Source organism: Homo sapiens, chromosome 15 (genome assembly GCF_000001405.40).
Source record: "Homo sapiens chromosome 15, GRCh38.p14 Primary Assembly".
NCBI classification, from domain to species: domain Eukaryota; kingdom Metazoa; phylum Chordata; class Mammalia; order Primates; family Hominidae; genus Homo; species Homo sapiens.
The window spans coordinates 94,225,864-94,242,886 of record NC_000015.10 but is presented as its reverse complement, the minus strand read 5'-3'; the positions used below and the strand labels follow the sequence as shown (position 1 = coordinate 94,242,886).

Below are 17,023 nucleotides of genomic sequence, written 5' to 3'. Positions count from 1 at the left end.
AGGAAACACTGTCAGCTAACCCCAGAAGTGGCCAGGCTTTCATCAAATCATACGGTAACTACCAAGAAACCACTAAACCCAATACTGCCAATAGGATATGTGCATGTGCAATACTCGCTTTCTGACCTCAAAACTTAGTTAAAAATGCAAAAGGGAAAAACATCTTTAAAATGAAAATAAAAATCTAAAGTTTAAAAAAAAACTTTCAGTGTCTAGTGTCTCATCTCTAAAAATAACAGCCTCAAGTTGGGTAAATAGACTAGATTTTTAAAATTGTTACTGGCCCAAAAATGTGCCTCTTGTTTCTTTTAATACTGTAATTTAGTATCAGATCCTACCATGCTTTCTCATCCTTATCCTGGTTAGAAGGCAATGTAGAAAAAAACCTCAGCAGTGCACAGATGCCTGATCTCTGAGAAAGCTGACATAACAGCGTAGGCAGGCACTTACCCAAACCTCTGTAGGTTTGCTTATTACGAAGAATCCAGACTCCCTCTTTTCCTTGAATAATAGACATTTATGAAGTATCTGTTATGTGCAAGGCAGTCTACATGTATTCTTACTAATATCCACAGGCATCTCAAAGTATTTTCATCTCCATTTTACAAATGAGAAAACTGAGTTCCAGAGATGTCAACGTCCCACAGCTAATATATGGCAGAACTGATAGTTGAGCTGGGGTTTGTCTGAATTCAAAACCCAGTCTTTCCCCAGTAACAAGGTGGTTTGAGGGAGCCATAGCATAGGCCTTCATTACTTGCTCACTGGAGTAGAAACGTTTTAAGTGGTTCCATTCTGCACCTACCTCATCAGAAGTGGCCTACAGGAACTCTTGCTGAATGGAGAGAATAATTTGGAACCTTTTCTCTCCTTAATCATTTCAACAACCATACAGAGTAGTGCTAATTCTCCTGATCTCAAAGAAACTAATAAAATCTAATAATAAATGCCAGACTTTTAAAAAACTATGAAATATTAAACAAATTCAAAGTCTCTTTAATATTCTGAGGTCCAAGGATAATTTAAATGACATTTTAAAGACAAAAATAAAAAGCCCTATTATCTCACCACTGAATTAAACCTGGTAACTTTTTTTTTTTAAAGTGGGTATGCCTTAGGAAACTGTAATTGTGCCTAGAGGCACAGGATAAAAAGTGACTTAGCTCAAACTAGACCATCTCCACAAAGGAACCACTAGTAAGTTTCTAGCACTCATTTCCAGAAAAAAAATATATATATCTGCATTCATACATCAGCACATAATATTGTTCTATACTATTCTATCCTATGCTTAATCACATACTTTAAAAAGCAACAATAATACAAATGCCTTGTAAGTACTAAGTCAGTCAGCTCTGACCCACAGCCACCAGCAAAAAGATATCGACAGGCAAGACCTGGTTTTCCGACTGGCCAGATTTAGGATATTACTACAAACCATGGAAACGACCAAAATTGCACAAACAAGACATCCAGAATTGGTCAGCAAAATTTGCATTAGAAAATAGTTTAAACAAAAATACAAAATTACCATTCATAACCTATAGTAAAATGGCTTCTTATTGGAATGAATATTAAACAACACCGATGAGTGTTCTCAAAAGCAGATGAGGCTGTGCCCGGCACATCAGATTGTAGGGTTCAAGGGAGTATTAGTTACATTCTTCCACTACTTTCCCCTGCCATTTACACCAGCCTCTGCATTTGCTCTCACATCCTAGAAAGCCACCGACTCTACATGAAACTAAAGGATCCCTAGGAGATATCTCAGAAGCTCTGCTGGGGATAAGTGGAGTATTCAGAGAAGTAACCCCAGCTTCTCGAAGACCACGATAACCAAAACATCCACCGTGTCTGTATACTCTGGATCTTGAAAAGATCTTATTTGATAAGTGTGTCTTAATGCTAATAATAGATACACACCAAAAAAAGTACCTTGATCTAATCAATAGCACCACAAGAATTTTCCTGGGTTTTGAAATGCCAACATCTGTATATATTTAAAAGGTTACAATCATTCAAAAACATAAAAACACAATGAAGTTGTTCTCACATGAACACTTAGGAATTAAGTGTAGTAATATTTAGATGTGATTGCTAGCTTCGTTACACAAATCTAACAATCCTGTTTACAGCATCACTTGGATCAGATAAAGGATAGAGACTTTTCCAGATTACCCAGCTTCATATATACACAGTCATCTGGCAGGAAATTGCTCTTAAATGACATATTTATCAAGACCATGCTGCGTTTATCTTCACAACAGGGTTTAGCAAGATTCCAGGTCTACATGGATGTGGTTTTAAGGCCTCCCCTGTCATGAAGGATTTCACCTTTGCATTGAGCCTGAGAATGCACAGAACAGCTACTTCCAAACTCAGGAGGTAGAGGAATTTCTGAAATCTTAGTTGGAATGGGTCTTGAAACCCCTCAAGTCTTGGGGTGAAATAATTTCCCTGGGATGCAAAACAGAGTGCAGTGATTGAAATGGTTGAAACAGCACTAGCTTGAAATCAAATAACAGGGGTAGAAAGTAAAAAAAGACATAGGCCAGATTTCCAACCCAGTTGGGTGACCTTGTGCAAGTTCTAGGTTTCACTGAGTCTCAGTGTTCCCTTCAATAAAATGGAGATGATTCCTATCTAATAGGGTTCCTAAGAGGATTAGCATGACTAAGATAATGCTACCACTGAGTAGAGACTCCGAAATATCAGGTAGCTAGTACACAAAATAAAATATACAGCAGCTAAATCTGTGTGTCCTGTAAACTAGGAAAAGCAAAAACTTCTACTTAAAAAACAAAACAAACAAAAAAAAAACTACCAATGAAAAGGCACAGCCTGACAACTGAACACCAAAACTAAACAATAAAATAATAATTCTGGATCTTGGGCTCATAGTGACAATGCTTGAAACTGACACGTGGCTTTGGAAAGGAAATTGGAGAGGAAGTAGTTAATAAAAGGACCAAATACCAGTCTGTTATTACTGATCAGGGCCACACCTATCTGATCAAACATAATTTGGGGGCACATAAATAGTTCATGACATTTAAAAACAATTCATCAGATACTTTCCAAGCCCCACCGTGTCTTTTGGTTCAAATATTAACAGAGAAAACTTCCCCAGAACCTTCTTTCTCATTCTTTGCCAAAGCTACATGTCTCTGTGCCAACTCACATGAGGCTTAAGGGAGTGAAAGAAATGTCAGATAAATTCTACCTGTTTAGACAGGCCTAAAATGCTGAAGGCAACTTCCGCCAAGGATTCCTACAGAATTCAAAACATAGCACAGTGTCAGAAAAAGTAGGAGATAAGGAAGACAGGGGAGGGAGCTCATGTAAGTAAAGACTTAAAGGAGATGGAGATAATTATTTACTGGGCCTGTTCCAACAACAAACAAGAAGTCTTCAAGTGAAGCATTGTCGCTGTAGGACAAGGAACTCAGGACAGATTCTACCCAACAGATGTTGTCACCAATTGACCCAGTGAAAATAATAATTGAGCCTGCAGCACTCCTGAGCCCCAGATTATTCATGAAGGGGCAACTGGAGGTGGAACAGCTGATCCCAAAGGTCATTTCCAGACTATAAACCGAAGAAGCTAAGCATATCTATATACATATCTTTTACGTTAAGCAAGATTATCATAGCAATAATGGTTATTGTAGTCCAAGAAATATAATGTTATTTTTTGATATATTACCCAAGTTCTCAGGCTAAATCCAAACATGCTTCATAATGCTAAAAGTAGTTCCCCAACCACCACCTTAAAAAAAGTAAGCATTACCCAATCATTTTTGTTTTTGATTTTGGTATTTTTGTTTTTAATTTGGGTGTTTTTGTTTTTAGTTTTTCTTTTCTTTTTTTTTTTTTTTCACGGTCAACTCCATTGTATCTTGGATTCTTCAAAACCCTTCACAGAACATGGGCGTGGTCACACAGATAGGTTTAATGCTTCCTTTTTAGTTTTCCCCATCAGTTAGCAGACCTCTCATGAATATTCCCACTTATTAATAACTTGTCATTAACAAAGCTTAAACAGACTAGCCTAGGCTTTCAGTTCCTCAAAAGCATCCATCCACTGATTTCTCAAAACACTCCCTCTGTGCTTCTCCATCTCCTTCCTGCCAGGCCTAGGTGGCACTTTGGATGTGGCCCTCACCACCTGCTCTCATAGCACCCTGTCCCTCACCCTTAACGAACAGCACGCTTCATTGTAATCACTTGTGAAACTGTCTGGTTTCCCCTCTCAACTGTAAGCTCTGAGAGGATGAGGATCTATTTGTTTTATTCACAACTAAAATTTCAGCACATAACATGTATAGCACATGCTCAGTGAATAGTTTTTGGATAAAAGAACTTTTTTTTTTCTCCTAGCTACTTTTTAGCAGTTTTAAAAAAGCCTTCTACTTGGAGCACCTAAGAAAACCTATCTATTCTATATAAAAATTAATATTCTAACAGCTACTCCAAAGCAGCACTGGCCAATCTACACAATATACAAAATGATATGATTCATTTATGATTCATACGATATACATTAATTTAAAATGTGTGTTTTTATAACAGAAAATAACAAGAGGATATATGATAAACGTTTTACCTCATAAAAATTATATGGGCTCAAATTCTGAACACTAGCTTTCAACAACCTCCTTGTTCACTCCTCACTCTACTATGTCAACAAAAAAGAGTCAAACTCTGTAAAATATTTTAAGAGATTTATTCCGAGCCAAATATGAGTGACCATGGCCCGTGACTCAGCCCTCAGGAGGTCCTGAGAACATGTGCCCAAGGTGGTCAGGGTGCAGCTTGATTTTATACATTTTAGAGAGGCATGACACATCAATGAAATACGTTCAAGAAATACATTGGTTTGGTTCAAAAAGGCGTGACAACTCAAAGTGCGCGGGGCGGGGGGTGGCTTCCAGGCTATAGATAAATGTAAACATTTTCTGATTGACAATTGGTTGAGTTTGTCTAAAGACCTGGGATCAATAGAAAGGAAATGTTCAGGTTAAGATAAAAAATTGTGGAGAGCAAGGTTCTCTGAAGTCTTACAGTGGCTGCCCTTAGAGATGACAGATGACAAATGTTTCCTATTCAGACCTTAAAAGGTGCTAGACTCTTAATCTCTTCAGGATAGGGAGGGCCTGGAAGAAAAAGATCTAGCTTTAATAGAGATTCTTTACAGATGCACATGTGACCCCACAAAGGACAGCTTTGCAGGACCATTTCAAAATATGGCAAAGAAACATACTTTTGGGGTAAAATATTTCCACTTTCTTCTTTGTCAGGTAATGTTATGCCAGAGTCAGATTGGAAAGTAAGTCATGATATACAGGGTTAAATGAAACCCATTTGATAAGAATTTATAGTTTGTAGGGCATGAGTCCCCAGACCCCTTAGATAAGAATTTGGGCAGCATAAAAAAAAAAAAAAATCCGAGTTTAGTCCTGTCCTCAACTGCTTTCAATGGCCCTTGTTTGCTTTTCCACATTGAGGACGTCCTTCCACCTCCACCTCTCAAATATGGCTCTCAAATATCTCAAAGGCCAAAGAGAGTGGAGGATTCATCTCCACTCGCTGAAGAATGAGTTCAGTTGATTGAATTATTCAGTTGTTACAGCAACTGCATTATTCAATCAGTTGATATTTAGTCAATTATTCAATTACCATCCAAAGACCAGTTCTTTCAAATCTCTACATTGCCAACCTCTTTCCTGGAGTGCAGACCTTTATCCTATCCAATTATCCACCTAACATCTCTACCTTGGGGTCATCCAAACATCTCAGACTCAGTGTCCATGAAGGTCATAATTCTCTGAAAAGAGGCTTCTCCTCCTCCAATACTGACTTATGTTACTGGCACCAAGCCAGCAGCCCAAGGCTCAAACCTGATCCACAGGCCCAGCACCTCCCTCTCTCTCATCACCCACCTCCACCTGGTCACCTGTGTAATCTTCCTAGTTATCTCTCAAATCCTGCCGCACCTCCACTTCCCTAAGGCCTTAATCAAGCCCAATAACCTACCTCCCTCCTGATCTACAATAACTTATGAGCGCCTTTCCTGCTGACTCACTGCCAGAGGGAGGGCATCTATTCTGTTCTCCCATAACATTGCACTACAAGGACTTCTATTCCGGTCCATGGGGATCATGTCTGTTTTGGTCACACTGTATCTCTTCTGGTGCCTAACATAATATTTAGCACAACTAGGCAGGCAACCAGTGACCACATGAATGAATGAACGCATGCATAGATGACACAGCTGGCATTCTCAGAATTAGATTCTGCTGCCTACCATAAACTCAAATTAATGTTTGTGTAAACATTTTTTTCTAGAGGGGAAGTAAAGGCACAGCAACCTTAGGTTTATACCCGAGAGCAAACCATCACTCTACGCACTCGCACACATATCCATGTCACTATCTGTACATTCTTACTCACGCTGCTTGACACCATGGGGCTATTTCGTAAAAAAAAAAAAAAAAAAAAAAAAAAAAGAAAAAAAAGAAAGGATTGAATCATAGGCAACTTTTTATTTTTTTACCAGAAAAAAAAAATGTAATAGGACAAGGCACAGCTCTTCTGAATATCTTCCAAAATGTAATGAACAAACACAGCATCACCTTCAAATCCTCTGTGGCCTGGGGAGGTGCTTGGCCTCTAGAAGAGAGGCCTCTAATAATCAGATCAAATCCCAGCATTCCTAAACAAGGAAACAAGGCCACCTTCCATAATCACCAACATCACTCCCCGCTGGGTAATCCATAGGAGCCCTTAATCATGACGCTATGGGAAATGGTATTTGCATGTGATGTAATCATTTATATGGAATCATGTCTATTCACTCATGAAATTTTAAAAGTCTGCATCAGGAGTAAATGACAATGAAGTTCTTCCTTCCTAGTTTGGAAATTTGTCTCTAATGAAAAATTTCTTAACCACAGTAGTCAGCAAATGACTACGATTGTTAAACAGGCACATCCCAAGCAATCCCAGGCCTGCCTCTTGGCCAATGCCAACACATAACAGTGGCATCGATGAAAACTCTCCCAGGCAAGATAAAAGAGGAAGGTTCTAAAACCAGACAGCCTGTGCTTGAATCCCGGCTGAACCACTTTCCAGCTGTGTGACTACGGACAATTTCCTATTTCTCTTTCAGTTTTCTCACATTTAAATCCAGTTGATCATAGCCCTGCGTTACCCAGGGTTTGTACCGAAGATTAAGAGTTAATATTTCTTAGCAAAATGCCTGGCACAACCTGAGAGCTCAATAAATGTTAGTGATAGTAATACAAATTATCATATTACAACACTAATATATTACTATTATTATTAATTTCAGTTCCCTCCCAGTGATCTCCATAAGGGATTCCATGCCCTATCTGTTCTCTTAAATATTAAGACCAGTGGTTTTCAGATTTTAGCATGCACCAGAATCATCCGGAGGGCTTCTTAAAGCACAGATTACTGTGCTCTAGACGCAGAGCTCCTAATGCGGGGTGCCTGAGAACGTGCATTTCTAACAAGTTAATCTCAGGTACGTAGGTGCTGCCGGACTCGAAGAACATCAGTGGAGGAGAATGAATGAGTCTAAACCACCAGGGATTTTTTTTTTTTTTTGAGACGGAGTTTCGCTCTTGTCTCCCAGGCTGGAATGCAATGGTGCAATCTTGGCTCACTGCTGCAACCTCCGCCTCCCAAGTTCAAGCCATTCTCCTACCTCAGCCTCCCAATTACCTAGGATTATAGGCACTGCCACCACACCGGACTAATTTTTGTACTTTTAGTAGAGATGGGATTTCGCCATATTGGCCAGGCCGGTCTCGAACTCCTGACCTCAGGTGATCCACCCAACTCGGCCTCCCAAAGTGCTGGGATTACAGGCGTGAGCCACTGTGCCCGACCACCACCAGGGCTTTTAATGGCTCTCTGCTCACTTAGAATGACCCTCCTGGACTCCATCAGAGTAACTCCAAACTCAGCTCAAGCCATCAGGAACCCTCCAAGGCCCCTGTGGCATCTCTATGCAAGCCTATAACAAAGCACTGTGATCAATGAAATCAGCTCCATGAGACTGGGAGTTCTTGACAATCAGGACTTCGCCTTACTCAGGACTTGGGACATTAGAAAACTCCCAATAAATGGTGACTGATAGTTGGAAAAGCCAATGGCCAAAGGCATCCCTGAGAAACAAACCAACCTGGAAAGTCTTGAAGACCAGCTCTCAGAATTGTTCGTTGGACATGAGTGTCCAGAGTGTCTCTGCTGTCCCATCCAGCAGTCTCTTCTCTGCTCAGTGGAGCATGAGTCCTTTGCCTTTAACCACAACTTTCCCTCTCACTCTTTGAGGGTAACAGAGCTTCAACTTTGGGCTTCTCACTAGCAGGGCCCCCCGTGGGTGTGACAAGCTGCTGGGAAATGCTGAGTGTTCTCAGGGAGAGGGGAAGCCGGATTGCAATCAGCACTCCTGTTTTTGTAAGCATTTCTGGTAAATTGCCCAAGATCTCCACAGAAACAGGCAGAAATCTCCAGTAAATTATCATCTCTTTTTCTCATTTTAAATACATATTCACTTTCACACCTAATTTTGTATTAATTTTCTTAAAGAGAGTCTCCAAATTGTTTACCTTTTAGGCCTCACAAAACTTGGAACTGCCCCTGCTTCATATCCCCTACATACTCTCCTCCTTCATCACCCACCCTGGTTCCCCATGAGAACACCTTACCAGGTCAGGCACACTTTTATAAACACCTTCTAGGAAGGACTTAACAGCTCAGCTCCTAAAGAGGAGTTTAAGGTGTCTGGCTGTTTCACCTCCACGTGAAGATAGAGGGAAAAAAAAAATCTGTGCCAAGATTGACGCAGGCAAAATATTCTACCTGATCCTCGCTTCACGGGCAAAGCCTTTTCTCAACAGTTAACTGGCAACAATTCAAGGTAATTTAAATATAAAACCCCTTCCATTTCTGTGTGTAATTACCAACAATTACAAGAAAAGTTTTAAGAAAGCAAGTGTTTTCCACAACAAGAAATATTATTTGAATTCAGAGTACTATTTTTCACTCACTTTCCATTCTCCACAGTATAATAATTTTAATTTGAAAATTACTTTCCTGGTTTACATGCACTTAAAGAAATTGTCAGTTGTTATAAATCCTTTATGCAAAAGTCAAATAAGGAACTTGATTCCTCGCCAGATCATCACATTGCAGTACTCTACAATTTCCAGAAGTAGTACTTCTGGAAATAGGTTTAAGGAAAAATATATATTCGTGTGTGAGCACAGGTTTACACAAACACAAAGTCCTTTCCAGGTGACAAGAGACCGCTAATCATCTTGCAGCTGTAAGAAATCAAGCTGAAATTGATTTCAAAGCCCACTCAGCTGAGAAACTCACCTCTGCAGGAGGAGACCATAGTAAAGCACACCAATAATAGGAAATTAGCTGTTCCTTCCATGTATAACACAGAGAGAATATATATGCAATTTTATTAATTGGCCCTGTTTGGATATATCAGGCCTTTCAAAATATGTTAAGAGACATAATAAATTTTATCTTTTAACATATTTTGAAAGGCCTTTCAAAATATGTTAAGACACATAATAAATTTTATCTTTTAAAGCTACATCTACTAGTCACAGATAGGTCACAGCTTGACCACACAAGTGCAATGAAAACAGTGCTCACTTCATTCCTGAGGACTACTTTAACTCCATTAATCCCCAGGAGATAGGATCTATGAATATAAATTTGAATTCTTATATTAAATCTGCCGGATTTACACTCTCCATCTTAGAGACAGCATGGAATAGTGAAAAAGTACGAGTTCTGCACTCAGAAATAGCCACATGCAATTTCTAAATTCACCACTGACCTTGTACAAATTACTGGACTCCTCTCTGCCTCAGTTCCTTATCTGCACAGGGGAATAGTATCTACTTTGTAGATTTCATAGACAAGACAAAGTGCCTAGCATGGTGCTTGGCACAGAGCTAATTCTTAATAATCTTATTTTAAGCATGGTTTTGACAATTTTTATTGCTTTGGAATGACTGATCAGGCTAATGACAGAGACTCTTCAAAGATTTACATTCTCCCTGCATTTAAATACTTATAACCAGCGATTACACAGGTGCTGCTGAGGCAAAGCGCAGCACCATTGGTCTCGTTCTAAACACCCACCTGTGAGGAATAAGTGCCTTAAGATTCCCCTTTGTATTAATATCAACACCTGTGCTACCCAACAGCACACCAGCCCGGCTCTCAGAGGTCTGCCCGTTAACAGGTGTACAATAAATATTTGTTGAATTGAAATGCTACTGACTCAAGCAAAAAATGAATGCTAATGTAAATTATAATCCATACAAATCCTTCAATAAGTGGTGTCTGAATTCTGTGCGTCCTGAAGCAAGTGTTCTAACGTCTCACGGTTCACTGAGAAGCTGCTTGGTACCTTAAGGGTTCGCACCCTTGTACCTTCCAGACCAAGCTCTTGTAAGCATCTAGAGGAGGCTGAAACCCTCAGTCAGCATCGCACAGAAGTTCATTCAGACTAGAGAAAACCTCTTTTATGGCAACCCAATCATTTAAAAAAAGCCGTCAGCACATTTGCTTAACAAATGGACAGTGCAGGAGGGAACTAATTGCGGAAACTAATCGCCACTCAAGTTCACCACCAACATCACTGTCTTTATTTTTAACTTACTTATCTTCAGTGGGATTGAGACACTGTTTGTTACCTACGCAATTATCCCAAGGATTTCTGCTCCGGTGTCGTTGAGCAAATGTCAGCGCAAAGAATTAAAGTTGAACCTCCGGGTCTCTACGAAGAGAGCGTATTAAAGCCCACCCAGCTGAGGAACTGACCTCTGTGGAAGGAGTCCTGGATGTGGCGGTGACTACCTCCGTAGCGCCCCGGGGAGACTGAATGTGTGGCCTTTAAAATGCAAAGAAATTCTGGGCCAGGCTGCCCTCCCCTAGTGCGCCTTCCAGTACGCCACGCCTGGATTTCTGCCTCCAGTCCTCAGGACACCTTTCTGATCTCTGAACCACAAGCAGCTCCGGGGTAGTAGCGCCACTGAATTCTCATCCTGGACCCTCCAGCTCCCCAACTCCCAGCTTCGGTTGAGAGAAGACGCCCACCCCCAGGCGGCGACCGTGCTGCCCGGCCCACGCGCGCTGCCAGGTGAACCCGGCACCGCCCTCACCTGTGCGAGGCCGCGTTCGGGGGCTGCAAAGCTGGGCAGGCGCGCGCCCCTCACCTGCACCGGACCCGCTGCAGTCGCCACTCGGAAGCGCAGGGAGCAACCCTGACGCGGCGGGGGCGGGGGCATCACCGAGGGCCCCCGGACTTCCTCGGGCCCCCCCACCGCCCTTGCGAGCCCCGCCTAAAGGGGAGGAGGCGGCCGCGCGTCACCTTTGAGCAGCCTCCGACCCAAGCGCCCGCGCTGCCGCCGGGAGCTCGGCCGGGTGTTGCAAGGAGGCGCTATGCTTGGTGCTGGGCACTGGCTGGGCGTAGAGAAGGCGATTACTTGTAACTCATTCGTTTGGGTTGGCTCACAGGAAAAGGAAGGTGTGTCCAAAAAGTCCGAAGTGAGGAAATAGGACGAGGATGGCTTGCAAACTCGTAAAGTCTTAATAAGCTGTCTTCGCTGATACTCAGAAGGGTTCTCTTCGCTCCTGTAGGTCCCTAATAGATTCATGGGAAGACAGCAGCCTCCCTTTGTAACGCCCTGACCCTGGGAAGAGGTACCCGAGCCAGACAGCCTATTAACCTATGCCACGTGTGCGCGACTGTGGGTGGAAGATGCCCGCCCAGATCCACAGAACTGTTTCCTGAGCCTTGGTGCCTCATCTATGAGATAAGGCCGGCGTACTGCTCAGCAAGCCGTCCCGAGTACTCGGCAGAGAACCCTAAAGACCCTCCCGTGCGATTGTTGGCACTCAGCGAATATTTGCTATTTATTTCCCCTTTCCCTTACTTTCTTTTTCTACTTTTTTTTACGCCGCTTTCCTGCTGTAATTGTCTTATTGCACTTTGTTTGCTCGGTTTCACTGCCTGGTCAGTTTCTTTTCCCGTCTATGAACGAGCCTAAGTCTGTGCGCTCTAGGAATTTGGGTGGATTAGGAAAAGAAATGTATGATCCATGCCTTCTGGGAGATCAGGGACTCATCTCTGGGAAATAGCATTTTTAAATTAGATACAAGAGAGTTACAGAAAATAACCTTAAAACGGGAATGGGACCTCTGGGAATAGGCGAGCTCTGAAATGAAGCGTTTAGTTGGTGTCACTGGTGATTAAGAGCTCCGGCTTTGGAGTCAGACCTCAAATCAAATTCTGCCTGGGCAACTAATTGTGTAAATGGACGAGTTCACTTAACCTCTCTAAATTTTAACTTCAACAAACTGGTTGTTTAAATAGCTTAAAATAGCTTAAATAGCTTAAAATAATAGCTATCTCATACTTTCTGAGAAATTAATTAGGTAATTCACATAAAATCCTCATTACAGTGTCCTGGGCCATGGTAACCACTTAATAAAAGTTAGCTATTAACAATACTAAGGTAGGAAATGGGAGGAAGGGGCATAAAAATTTAGAAAACATGAGGACGTGATAGAAAACAGCTGCCACTGTCATGCAATTCCGACTTACAACAATAGCTACCACTGAGGAACACAACTTCGCACCAGTTTCTGTGATTGGCATGTAACACGTGATCATATTGAATTTTCACAAACCAGGAGACAGTTAATAAAATCTCTGATTCAAGATGAGGAAAATGAGCATCAGAACCATGAAATAACCTGCCTGAAGCTATGAGTCAAGTTAGTAGCCGAGTCAGAGCAAGCTGAGGCCTATGGCAAAATTGGCTTTTCCCACCGTGCCGAAGGTTACATCCCCTAGCAGAGAACAGAGAGAGGTAAGGGTAAAACAGCATGAAAGGAAGAAGAGAAAGAGCAGTAGGCAGACGAAGCAATCATACCTTTAAAGCTGACTAAGAATACAAATGAATTAAAATAGTAAGTGAACCCACACAAAAGCTTTTTTGCCTTTAACTCCTGCCCCAGTGGAGTTCCTGTTCTGTGGTTCCGGCAGTCCAACCGCATTTTTCAATCATTAAATGGTATAGAAAGTGAAACAACTAAAGATACAGAAATCTAAGGTCACAACTTGCCCTTCCCACCACAATACACTCATCTGCCCAGCTTCCTGGGTTTTTTGTTTTTAATTGTTCAAACATATTACCTGTCTCCTTTTCTATGTTCCACCCAGGAAATGTCCCTTCCAGGGAATAATATTGTTGCTTATACCAATTTAACTTTACTACATAACCACACCAGCATTTAGAATGGCAACTGGACTCATACATGTAGCTGATAAATTTTTAACACACTTTTGTTATATTGAATTTCTCTAAACAGATTTTGAACCAGGTCTTACATTATAGGCACTGGTCAGTGATGTCATAATTATACTTAAAAAAAAATAAAATCTCCTGCACGTATCATAGGCAGCTTTCTCTCTCTTCTGAGCAACCAGATATTTGGCCTCTGAAGAAATGCCCCTATTGTCAATGTGATAATTGAGGTGGAGATTTCCCACTTTCAGATACAATTGCTTTTATATCTTAGACAATGTATGTTTGGTTGCATGACAATCTAATATTGGCACCTCTTCTTTTAAATTGTAAATGGAAGATGTGTCTTCTGAAGGCCCAGTGTACTCCTTGGCTATCATGGCTATACTGCCTGTCATACATGCAGAAGCACGGTTAAGTGCATACAAAGGCTAGATAACAATTAGTGCAGTTATCTAGCCACGTCCCTGTGCCTTTTTGAATGAGCCAGAGTATTTCAAATGAAACAAATGAAAATTGCTGTAGCCACCCAGAGTCTTTGACAATGAGGGTTAAAGCAGTCTTCTCTAAAGAAGACAAGACCCTGTCTGTAAATGCATAGGATCTAGAGTTCCATATCTTCTCTGCTCAGTGGGAGCCTCCTTGGGTCATCCTATCAGAGTTGGCCATGCAGTCAACACAGTCTGGCTCCATTTGGAGGACACAGAGCTAATCTTGCTGGGACAAGTCCCTTTATGTCAAAGAGAAAGCTGTCTGAGATCTGCTAGCAGTAATGTAAGGGCTTGGCACCTAGCTTCCCTCACATTTTCCTTCGTTGGTGCTTCTCATCATTTCTGGGCCGATAAGAGCAGAAGTAGAAAAATGACTGAGACATAAACATGTCAATTTAGATCTACCAGGGGTTAAAACGAATATAATGGTTAAAGCAAACTTCAGTCTATTGTCCAAGTAACAAATGTTTATTTTAGTGTGTGCTTTAAGGAAGAATATGCACTCTGTTACGTGGCGTTGAGAAATGGTACTTCTTTTATTGTTAGTGCAAATAGTCTTTGTTATTATATGTACTCAGGATTTTTTTTCCTTTGGTATAATTATCATGTTATCCCCTTTTTATAGGCAGGTGTGGAGAGACCAAATTTAGTGACTCACTCCAGACCTAGCTCTGCCACTTACTAGTTACGAGTTTATCCTGTAGGCTTCACTTTCTTGAACAAAAGAATGGACCTAACAGAAAATGAGTCCTATTCTCTAATTATTCAGAAAGACTTCTTATAAAATCTCTTTGGAAATCAACATCAGCATTGAATTGTCCTAATGATGATTCTATGTATCAAGTTCTTTTCTTTCAAATACCTAAACATGTATTTAACACAAGCTGATTAGCTGGAAATGTTCACAGGTAGTAAGTTGTTCAAAGATCGACTTTTATGGATGTTGTACCTTTATTGGGTGGGAACTTTTATGGCCAAAATGAACATCTGGTAGTGGTTGCTTCTGAAAAGTTAAAATTATTAGAGGCTTGGAGTTAACTCTTAAGAGACTGAGTCTGCCATTCATTAGATGGGTAAAGAAGAACCAAATTTACTTCTTCAGATGAAGGTTAACTTTGCCCAAGATTACTATCTCAGTACCAACATTTTTGTCTGACGATCTGAATTTCATTCAGTTAATTGCTTAAAACTTCCCCTAGGCCAGGGGAGAGGTTCATACTGTAGAGAATTTCTGTGGCCCCAAATCACATTTATTGAATTGTTCTCTAGTGTGTTGTCATTGGCAATAGTGGGGGGTATCTTAAGAATCTACCTTGGGAAATACGTTGTTGAACATACATTTGGCATGTTGGTCGGGGTCATTGTTTTTTAAAATTACACTGCCTGTTTTAAGATGATCCAAGGTAGAAGTTATCACTCATCTCAGATACAAAAATCTTGAGCTTTTCCACAACAAATGGTTTGTTTGCATCTTATGGGTTCTGCAAATAACACAGTTGAATTTGTTTTCCTCTCTAATTGAGCCACTAGAATGCACAGAGTGGCTCACCTCTGGCAAGTATTCAGAAATGCTTATTTGTGCATTGCACATTACAGTTATCTGTTTTTCTACCTGTATTTTCCAAAATGAGAGATGAAACTAGGGGAATTTTCAGGACAAGAATATTTAGATAACAATCAATTCTCCATGCAAAATAAGAAGTACATTCATTGATGTATTCATTCACATAATTAGCATGTATTCATCATCTACAACCAGGACCACAAACTAGGGTGCCTACATGGGTGAGACTGGTGAAATAGAGATTGACTGTGGTCACATATAAGAAGATAGAGACTGTGGCAAATAGCAGAGAGTAGGCCCACCTAAAGACATTCAAATTTACTTATTGTTAACCCTGTGCTGGCTAAAAAATACAGGTGGCCGAAAGCCTGGCAACCAGTTTGAATCCCCTGATCCATATATTAAGCTCTGTGATAAACTCTGTGGATATAACACAAATATGATAGCTTCTGCCCTCCAATGGCTCACATTTTCGCTAGATGTGTAAACAGATAAACACAATAGAGTGTCAGAGTGAAGAGGCCTTGATAGTAGCACCTGCAGAGCCCAGCAAGTGGTGTAAAAAACCAGGTAGAAAATACACCAGAGAATCAGCAGAAACCGGGACCCCAGTCAGTCCCAAGTGATGAAAAAAGGGAGTCTTCATGGGTGAAACCTGGCTTACACAATTGAGATAAGTACAGACTCAACTGGCAGACAAAGATCAGTTCAATAAATGAAGCCAGCCATCTAGCAGTATTTCCATAATCTTAATCAGAAAATCAAAATATAGACAAATGTGGAGAAATAATAACTATGTCTATGGCTGAGGACATTAACAAATTTTGGACTTGACGTCTCCAGTCTGTCTTTGTGACTGGTTGGGATGTATAATTTGCATAAGTTTTCATTCATCCAGTCTCCCATTACTGCCTCTAATGATAACCTACAAAGAAAGTACAACATCACTAATTAATGGATTGAAAAGTAGTCAGGAAATAGACAAGGTCTTATTAAGTGCATAAGGACATTTGCAAACCAACCTGGTAGGCACCTGCCTGCTTTACTGATTTTTTTTTAGGCACGTCTTTGTAGTGACAATTGTTGCCACTTCCTGAAAAAATCCAAAGTAGAAAATAAGACAGTAAGTAATCTGACCTTAAGACTAAGTTAATTTCTTAATTTCTTAATTTCCAGTATGTGCTAAAGTTTTTCATTTTTCCTACTGAGAAATACCCAACTATAATGAAAAATTACACATTCTCTAAAGGGCTTGTTCTTTTAAAAAGTAAACTTTGATTAGGTTGAACTTCTATTCAGCTGACTTTAAAATGGAGAAGAATAAGGAAAACCTAATTCAGTCAGCACAAAAATATATTTTAGATATTTTAAAGGGAAAGGAGTAGCTTCATTTGTTAATATCAGACATCTTCTCAGTTGTAGTTTAGAACTTTCTACAGTGACCTTTGCATCCACCTTCAGTGTGGGCTGTGACCTGCCTCCTTATCCCTGATGGTTTTTGGTGAAAGTGAGCCCTACTTCATTACTTTGCAAAATGTAGTTCTATTCCAGCACCTCTCATCTGAAAACCCTGGCTTTATATTTCAAACTATGTG

General features: G+C 40.6%; 1 protein-coding gene across 25 annotated transcripts in view, besides 2 other annotated features; it reads right to left on the bottom strand.

Annotated features, from left to right (window-relative positions):
- Positions 1–11,521, bottom strand: part of MCTP2 (multiple C2 and transmembrane domain containing 2) — a 252,587-nt gene extending 241,066 nt beyond the window's left edge. For 19 of the 25 annotated variants that reach the window (NR_169530.1, NR_169529.1, NR_169527.1 and 16 more), the window contains exon 1: positions 11,223–11,326. The gene's annotated coding sequence lies outside the window, so the exon portion shown is untranslated. Of the gene's footprint in view, positions 1–10,881; positions 11,327–11,431 lie in introns of those variants that run through there. The other 6 variants (NR_169532.1, NM_001385002.1, NM_001385003.1 and 3 more) reach the window with 2 other exon arrangements.
- Positions 11,267–11,396: a silencer, noted in NCBI's record as "silent region_6851". NCBI's record gives its function as "represses an Ori minimal core promoter by ATAC-STARR-seq in GM12878 lymphoblastoid cells {active_cell/tissue: GM12878}" and the evidence as "EXISTENCE:reporter gene assay evidence [ECO:0000049][PMID:35858748]".
- Positions 12,932–13,071: an enhancer, noted in NCBI's record as "active region_10134". NCBI's record gives its function as "activates an Ori minimal core promoter by ATAC-STARR-seq in GM12878 lymphoblastoid cells {active_cell/tissue: GM12878}" and the evidence as "EXISTENCE:reporter gene assay evidence [ECO:0000049][PMID:35858748]".